Source organism: Homo sapiens, chromosome 22 (assembly GCF_000001405.40).
Source record: "Homo sapiens chromosome 22, GRCh38.p14 Primary Assembly".
NCBI classification, from domain to species: domain Eukaryota; kingdom Metazoa; phylum Chordata; class Mammalia; order Primates; family Hominidae; genus Homo; species Homo sapiens.
In genome coordinates this window covers 30,438,162-30,446,922 of record NC_000022.11, presented here as the reverse complement: position 1 = coordinate 30,446,922, position 8,761 = coordinate 30,438,162, and the positions used below count along the sequence as shown (strand labels likewise).

General features: G+C 49.9%; 1 pseudogene, besides 2 other annotated features; it reads right to left on the bottom strand.

The window, feature by feature from the left end:
* Window positions 1,447–1,741: an enhancer, noted in NCBI's record as "tiled region #4237; HepG2 Activating non-DNase unmatched - State 8:EnhW, and K562 Activating DNase matched - State 5:Enh". NCBI's record gives its function as "activates a minimal TATA promoter and a strong SV40 promoter by Sharpr-MPRA in HepG2 and K562 cells {active_cell/tissue: HepG2 | K562}" and the evidence as "EXISTENCE:reporter gene assay evidence [ECO:0000049][PMID:27701403]".
* Window positions 4,214–4,263: an enhancer, noted in NCBI's record as "active region_18838". NCBI's record gives its function as "activates an Ori minimal core promoter by ATAC-STARR-seq in GM12878 lymphoblastoid cells {active_cell/tissue: GM12878}" and the evidence as "EXISTENCE:reporter gene assay evidence [ECO:0000049][PMID:35858748]".
* SLC39A1P1 (SLC39A1 pseudogene 1) lies at window positions 6,373–7,086 on the bottom strand (annotated as a pseudogene).

Sequence of the window (8,761 nt, the reverse complement as noted above, 5' to 3'; positions counted from 1 at the left end):
AGTTGCCCCATCCTTCCACATCAAACCAATGTAAATCTTACATGTATTGATTGATGTCTTATGTCCTCCCAAATGGTATAAAAGCAACCTGTACCCCAACCATCTTGGGCACATGTTGTCAGGACCTCCTGAGGCTGTGTCATGGCCACATCCTTAACCTTGGCAAAATAAACCCTCTAAATTGATTGAGACCTGTTTCAGATACTTTTGGGTTCACAGAGTTAATGCTGATGAAGGGTCACTGCACAGTGGACTTCATTTTCTCATCTGCAGGAAGGTGATAATGATGGCACCTGTCTCATGAGGCTACATAATGCGATGGAGGTTACATAATGCGATGCTTAGCTCAGTGCATGGCACACAGAAAGAGCTCCATCCACGTGCTCTGTGGGTGTCCAAGGGGAGGGCTGAGCGCGTGATGGAGGGGACTGTAGGGCAAGATGATTCCGTCTTGGGGAGGGAGCCAAGCAGGGTTCATGGAGCGGGTACCGTTAGAGCTGGACCTTGAAGGCTGGGAAAAAAGGGAAATGGGATGGGGGGCGGGCATTGCTGGCAGATGACATGGCCTGAGCAAAGGCAGGGAGGCAGGGTGGGCAGGGCACATCCAGAGAATGACGAGGATTCAGGGGAGGCAATAGCATGGGTGCAGGGATGTGTGTGGTGAGAGATGAGGCCAGGGGATTTTGAATGCCAAACTGATGTGTTCAGACTGGATCCTGGGGACCGTCATAAGCCATGAAAAGTATTGGGACAGAGGAGGGACCTGGAGAGATTCAGCCACCAGTGTGATCAGATCAGAATGTTTCTTTATGCAATGGGCAATTAAGGAATTCCCAAGCTTTTAGCTCACACAAATAAGACCCCAACAATCCTCAGATGCACATCTCTGGACAATTGTCCAATTAGTTCCTCTGAATAAATTCTTAAAAGTGGAATCCTTGAACCATGTAATTGGCATTTTTTATATCTGGGTTAGACACAGATGGAACGATTCAATCATTTGCCCTTGAAGTGGATGTCTCTTGCCACAAAAATAATGGCCAGTATTTGTGGAGCTCTTGCTGTGAGCCCCACTCTGCCTGGATGCTTTGTGAATCATTTTGTCTGTAATCCTCACAACAGCTTCAGGTCATTACAGAGAACTGTGCAGAGAGAAAACCAATGCTCAGAACATTAGGTAACTTGCCCAAGGTCACACAGCCTATGAATCATCCCCTGACTGTGTAGAGGGTCATAGGCTGGAAGGGCAGTGGGCAAAAGCAGTCCTAGGCTGGGGGAGGTATCGGGAGTTAGGGGACTGCGTGAGCTTGGGTCAGTGATTTTAACTCTAGGAAACAGAGACCTAATAACAACATCCATCTCAAGATGAGGTTATGAAGATTATTATTATTTTTTGTACCCCATTTCTGTTGAAGGTTGTTAAGATTAAATGAGTCACATCGCATGAATTGCTTAGAACAGGACCCGGTGCCCACTATGAGCAATTCACTAAGAGTTTATCAATAATCAGTTTGAATCGGCCAACATGGGCACGTTGGGAGGTGCTCCCCCCTTGTGGTTATTGCTAGTATTGCGTGAAGATGGCCACTTGGGGCCCGACTCCCAGCATGCACTAGGACAAAGGCCACAAAACCCGGGGGTGGGAAAAGACCCCGCCCCATCCCAGCTGAGGTCCGCTCCATCCTCTTACACAGGGAATGGCGATTTCCCATCACAACCACCATCTGCCACCTCCTGTCTAGTTGACCTCTCTGTACCTGTTTCCCCACCCATATGAATGACTTAGCACAGAACTCAAAGCCCCAAAGAATTGCTTCTGGTCCCCTGCCCAGGAAAGAGGTAAGCTTTCCCTGGAGAAAGAGCTTCCCAGTTGTACATGGCTAGAGTGTTTGAAGGAGGTATTCCAGCTCTGTGGATACCCCTTCAAGTAAGGTTGCCAGGTAAAATACAGGATGCCCAGTTTAGTATAAGTATGTGCCATGCAATGTTAGGGGTACACTTCTAAAACATCCTTTGCTGTTTATCCGAAATTCACATTTGAGCACCCTGTTATTTGCTAAACTCAGCAACTACCCCTGGGTGTTTGGGGCAGAGGCAGGGGCTGGGCTGCCTGGGAGGGGGCGACTGCCCATTCTGGGCCAGGAACCTGGGATGTCTCACTTCAGCCCTCCCAAGCTGGTGGGAGGAGTCTCTGTTGCTAACCCCACTTCACCATGAGGCCAATGGCGTCTGAAAGCCACACAGATGATGTGCAGCCTCCAGGATAAATGCTCACAGAGGAGGCAGCTACTACAGCAATGGGGGGAGTGTTGGCCTAGAGGGAGCCCAGAGTGAAACCACTTTTGCAAAAATTATAACAGTGAGAAAATTATGGCAGTGAAAGAGATATGATCTAGCCAAGTCCTGATCTCGCCCCAGGCCTTCAAGCTGCCCCTAATTATTCCTGGGCTTAGGCCAAGCTAACTTTGGGAGACAGTTTATAGTTTAAATGATAATAGCCCTTCCCCAAAACTCAACCACCTTTGCGAAGCTAATAAGAGACCACCAGGGTAGGAGAACAGAGAAGGCTGAATTCTCCTAAGGTGTAGACATAAATGATAGCCAGTCATTATTCTGGAGGTCAGAAGATATGCAGCTTCCCCAAGTACTCCTGCAGGTAACATCACTATTTTAGAACCTAAGATTGGCCTTTTGTTGTTATTTTTGTCTTGTTTTGTTTAGAAACACCTTTTATTTGGGTAACATGTCCCAAAACAGGTCAGTTAATAAAACAGATTCTAAAGAATATGGCCCTATGCACAGCCTTCCCTCCCCGAAAATAACCTTTGGGAATAGGAATTCCCTTTCCCCCTTGCGCTCCTCTAATTTATTTAAAAGAATGTTTTGGGAGCTCATGTTTATCATCTGGGCAGGGGGGTGCCATGTCCATGTGCCGTATTCCTGGGGTACAGCAGTGGTAGGTGGCTGCAGCTCTCCAACCCTCTCCCAACCCTGGCCCAGCAAACATTTCTCTCCCACCCCAGGATCTGGGACCAAAACAAAGAGCAAGCAGGCCCCCTCCACTGAGGTGCTGGGCAGGGCTCAGTGGCACATCACTGTGCTTTGAGAAAGAGGGAGGGGATTTGTTTGGCACTTTAAAAATAGAGTGAGCAAGGCTGGGCGCGGCGAGTCACGCCTGTAATCCCAGCACTTTGGGAGGGTGGAGCAGGCGGATCACGAGGTCAGGAGTTCAAGACCAGCCTGGCCAACATGGTGAAACCCCAATTCTACTAAAAATACAAAAATTAGCCAGGCGTGGTGGCAGGCGCCTGTAATCCCAGCTACTCGGGAGGCTGAGGCAGAAGAATCGCTTGCACCCAGGAGGCAGAAGTTGCGGTGAGCCGAGATCGTACCACTGCACTCCAGCCTGGGTGACAGAGCGAGACTGCTTCTCATGAAAAATAATATATATAGAGAGAGAGTGAGCAGGACTGGAGAGAAGATATCAAAATGGCAGGGAGAGACCATTTGGCACTCGTCCCCTGGGAGAAGGGAAGAGGGAGATAGATACGAGAGTAGGAGCTAAGAAAAGTACGAGGGGTCCACTCCAAGTGACAGGTGCTGAAATGGGGTAGAACCAACAGGACACTGACTCTGGGTTTATGTCCTCTCTATCCCTCTATCCCACAGCAGCCGTGTGCCCACCTCCAGCCTCCCATGTCAGCCTGTCCCTATGTTTAGTGTCCAACCTCTGATTCTGGCAGTCAAGCGTCTTCCCCAATCCTAACATCAGAGACTTTCAAACCACAGTGACTCCATCTTGAGTAGGGACTGGGTAAAATAAAGCTGAGACCTACTGGGCTGCATTCCCAGGAGGTTAGGCATTCTTAGTCACAGGATGAGATAGAAGGTTGGCACAAGATACAGGTCACAAAAAGTTTGCTGATAAAACAGGATGTGGTGGCTGGGTGCGGTGGCTCACACCTGTAATCCCAGCACTTTGGGAGGCCGAGGCAGGTGGATCACTTGAGGTCAGGAGTTCGAGACAGTCTGACCAACATAGTGAAACCCCGTTTCTACTAAAAATACAAAATTAGCAGGACATGGTGGCATGTGCCTGTAATCCCAGCTACTCAGGAGGCTGAGGCAGGAGAATTGTTTGAACCTGGGAGGCAGAGGTTGTAGTGAGCCAAGATCACACCATTGCACTCCAGCCTGGGTGACAGAGCAAGACTCCGTCTCAAAAAAAAAAAAACAAAAAAAACCAAAAACCCAACATAACACAAAACCGGATGTGGTAAAGAAGCCAGCCGAAAACCACTAAAACCAAGATGGCAAAGAAAGTGACCTCTGATCATCCTCGTTGCTCATGATATGCTACTTATAGTACATTAGCATGCTAAAAGACACTCCCACCAGCACCACAACAGTTTACAAATGCCATGGCAACATCAGGACATTACCCTATATGGTCTAAAAAGAGGAGGAACCGTCAGTTAGGGGAACTGCCCACTTCTTTCCAAAACTGATGAGTAATTGTTTAATATATGTTTTTTGTTTGTTTGTTTGTTTGTTGGAGATGGAGTCCCTCTCTGTTGCCCAGGCTGGGGTGCAGTGGCGTGATCTCAGCTCACTGCAACCTCTGCCTCCCAGGTTCAAGTGATTCTCTTCCCTCAGCCTCCTGAGTAGCTGGGATTACAGGCACACACCACCGTGCTTGGGTAATTTTTTGTGTGTTTATAATAGAGACAGGGTTTCTCCATGTTGGCTTGGCTGGTCTCAAACTCCTGACCTCAGGTGATCCACCTGCCTTGGCCTCCCAAAGTGTTGGGATTACAGGCGTGAGCCATCACACTCAGCTTATGCTTGAAACTACCATTGCAAAATTATAACAGTGAAAGAGATCTGAACTAACCAACTACATCTTGCTTTTTTTTTTTTTTTTTGGAGATCGACTCTTGCTCTGTCGCCCTGGCAGGAGTACAGTCGCACAATCTTGGCTAACTGCAGCCTCTGCCTCCTGGGTTCAACTGATTCTTTTGCCTCAGACTCCCAAGTAGCTGGGATTACAGGTGCCCACCATCATGCCCAGCTAATTTTTGTATTTTTAGTAGAGACGGGGTTTCATCATGTTGGCCAGGCTGGTCTCGAGCTGCTGACCTCAACCTCAAGTGATCTGCCCACCTCGGCCTCCCTTAATGCTGGGATTACAGGCGCTCCACCATGCCCGTTCTCATCTTGCTTCTAACCTCCAAGTTGTCCTTGTTCATTCCTCGGCACAGGCTGAACTAACTTTGGAAGGAACTTAGTTTATAGTTTATAGTTTAAAACAAAGATGATAACAGCCCTTTCCCAGAACAAACCTCCCTCTTGCCTGGAGACTAGACTGCCTTTGTAGGACTAACAAATTAGCCAAAAGTTTATAAATTGTGGTTTAGGAGTCGTGCAGCTGGAGGCTACAAGATTCTGACCCTCCCCAAATTGCTCCTGGGGGTGACATCGCTATTGTAAAGCCTAAGATCGGTGCTTGAGGTATTTTGCAGACCCTGCACTTGACGGATCAGCTGGCACCACACAGATCAATAAACTGGCTCATCTGATCTTGTGGCTCCCACCTGGGAACTGACTCAGCACAAGAGGACAGCTTCCACTCCCTGTGATTTCATCTCCGACCCAACCCATCAGCACTCCTGACTCACTGGCGGCCCCCCACTCACCAAATTATCCTTAAAAATCCTGATCCCCGAATGCTCGGGGAGACTGATTTGAGTAATGATAAAACTCCAGTCTCCCACACAGCAGGCTCTGTGTGAATTACTGTTTCTCTATTGCAATTCCCGTCTTGATCAATCGGCTCTGTCTAGGCAGTGGGCAAGGAGAACCCGCTGGGCAGTTACATGATCAAGAAATAACTGTAAGTATACTCAGTCAAGCAGCCCATGCTGCTGCTCTGTCTATGGAGTATTCTTTAATTCTTTTACTTCCTTTTTTTTTTTTTTTGAGACGGAGTCTCACTCTGTCACCCAGGCTGGAGCGCAGTGGCACAATCTTGGCTCACTGCAACCTCCGCCTCCCGGGTTCAAGCGATTCTCCTGCCTCAGCCTCCCAAGCAGCTGGGATTACAGGTATGCGCCACCACAGCTGGCTAATTTTTGTATTTTTAGTAGAGGCAGGGTTTCACCGTGTCAGCCAGTCTGGTCTTGATCTCCTGACCTTTTGATCTGCCCACCTTGGCCTCCCAAAGTGCTGGGATTACAGGCATGAGCCACCGCGTCTGGCCTTCCTTTACTTTCTTAATAAACTTGCTTTCACTTTATGGACCCACCTCGAATTATTTCTTGTGTAAGAGCCAAGAACCCTCTCTTGGGGTCTGGATCGGGACCCCTTTCTAGTAACACTAATGTCCCTGATCATGTCTCTAGTGACTCAGCCGTCTCTCGTTCCTTGGGGCTGAGACCAGTCTCTCTTGCCTGCCCACTTCCCTCTCATGGGTCAGATAGTGCCAAAGGCTCCATCCTTAGCTCCTAGAGAAAGCTTTCGTCCTCAGAACCTCCCTTCCCATTCCTTCCTTTTCCCCACACACTGGGGCAGGGAGGGAGAACAGCGGCCTCTATTTCAAAGCCCCCTAGATATGGATGAAGAGCAGGCCAGTGAGCAGGGCACACCCTTCTAGGAGCAGAATGACCTTGAGGATCCTTTGCTCAGAAGTCGCCAGCTCCTGGAAAGATTTCCAGAAAGGTGGTATAGAGGAAGGTGCCAGCCACCATGCCCTCTAGCACAGACTGGGCCAGCTGGTGCAGAGGCCCTGCTGACTGCCAGAGCCGCACCCAGCCGGATGCCTAGAAGTGTCATGCACAAGAAGTGGATCCCACAGCCAGCCACCACCTGTAACCCTACGTGGCTCTGCAGCAGTTGCAGGGACAGGCTGACAGCCACGGTGCCCTTGTGGAGCAGCAAAGCCAGGCGCAGCTCCGCGGCCCAAGCCCCGTCTCACTGCAACCCCTTGAACACTGAGTATAGAGCCAGGGAGAAGACCAGTACATGGGCACGCAGAGCTGAGGGGGCTGCTGGGGCTCCACTCACCTGTGGGACCCCTGGCCCTTCGTGAAGATTGGCCTTTTGAGGTATCTTTTTTTTTTTCTTTTTTGAGACAGAGTTTCTCTCTCGTCGCTCAGGCTGGAGTTCAATGGCACGATCTCGGCTCACTGCAACCTCCGCCTCCTGGGTTCAAGCAATTCTCCTGCCTCAGCCTCCTGAGTAGCTGGGATTACAGATGCCCATCACCACGCCCAGCTAGCTTTTGTATTTTTAGTAGAGACAAAGGTTTCACCATGTTGGCCAGGCTGGTCTCAAACTCCTGACCTCAGGTGATCCACCCACCTCGGCTTCCCAAAGTGCTGGGATTACAGGTGTGAGCCATCACGCCCGGGCTTTTTTGAGGTATCTTTTCAGGCTTTTTGTATGTCTGACACCTATGGTTCCACCTGGACCTGCCAACTGCTCCTGTGGCCTCACCCAGAAGTGACTCAGCATACAGGATCATTTCCCACACCCCTATCATTGCACCCCCAACCAGTCAGCAGCAGGCCCCATTGCCTAGCCACCCCCGCCACCCTTCCCTTAAACTACCTTTGAAAAACCCTAGCCCCTAAATGCTCCAAGAGACTAATTTGAATAATAAAAAAACTCCAGTCTCAGTGGCTCCTGCTTGTAATCCCAGCACTTTGGGAGGTCAAGGCAGAAGGATCACCTGAGGTCAGGAGTTCAAGACCAGCCTGGCCAACATGGTGAAACCCCATTTCTACTAAAAATACAAAAATTAGCCAGACCTGGTGGCGCATGCCTGTAGTCCCAGCTACTTAGGAGGTTGAGACAGGAGAATGGGTTGAACCTGGGAGGAGGAGGTTGCAGTGAGCCGAGATCACGCCACTGCACTCCAGCCTGGGCGACAGAGCAAGCCTTCATCTCAAAAGAAAAACCAAAACAAACAAACAAAAAACAACTCTGGTCTCCTGTTCAGCCATTTCTGCATAAATTAAACTCTTTCTCCACTGCAATTCCCCTGCCTTGATAACCCACTTGGCGGTTACAAGAGGAGCTTCCTAAGCCAGTTAGAGGGGGTCAGAGGTCACCTTGGGTTGGGGAGCAGGAACTGAGGGAGGAGGGAGCTGTAATCAGGGTAGGGCTGGTGAACCTGCAGGACGGGCTGGGGGAAAGGCATGGAAGGGAGTGTCCCAATAGGAGGGAACAGTATATGAGAAAGCCTGGGCAGGAGAAACACCAGATCTAAGGACCCAAAAAGGACAGAATGGCTGAAATGAAGATTTGGGGTGGGGCAGTGAGAAGGGTGTGTATGATAGGGGCGTTATCCAGATCACCAAGGGCCCTGAGAGCCACTGTGAGGGTCTGGACTCTGTTCTGAACATTGTAAGAAGTGGTTGGCCAGAGGGAACATTTGGAGAGGAACAAGCTAGAGGCTGCTACCATGATATATGTCTAGAGGGGACAGATAGGAGATGTGGTGCTAGAGTACTGGGGACAGAAGCCACAGGAATGAGCGGGAGCAGCCAGGGTAGAGAGAGGAGGGCCTGAGCCCAGGCTCTTAGCACTGGGGTGACAGCCAGAGAGGTAGAAAGGAATCTGGAGGGAGAGCTCCAGATAGCCAGGAGTCAGTCACAGCTGAGGCTGGCTTTCCCTTCTCCCTACCAGGCAGTTTTGGGGAGGGAATAACAGACCAGGCTTGAGTTTTACCTGTGACCATATATGCTGGGAGGCCTTTGCC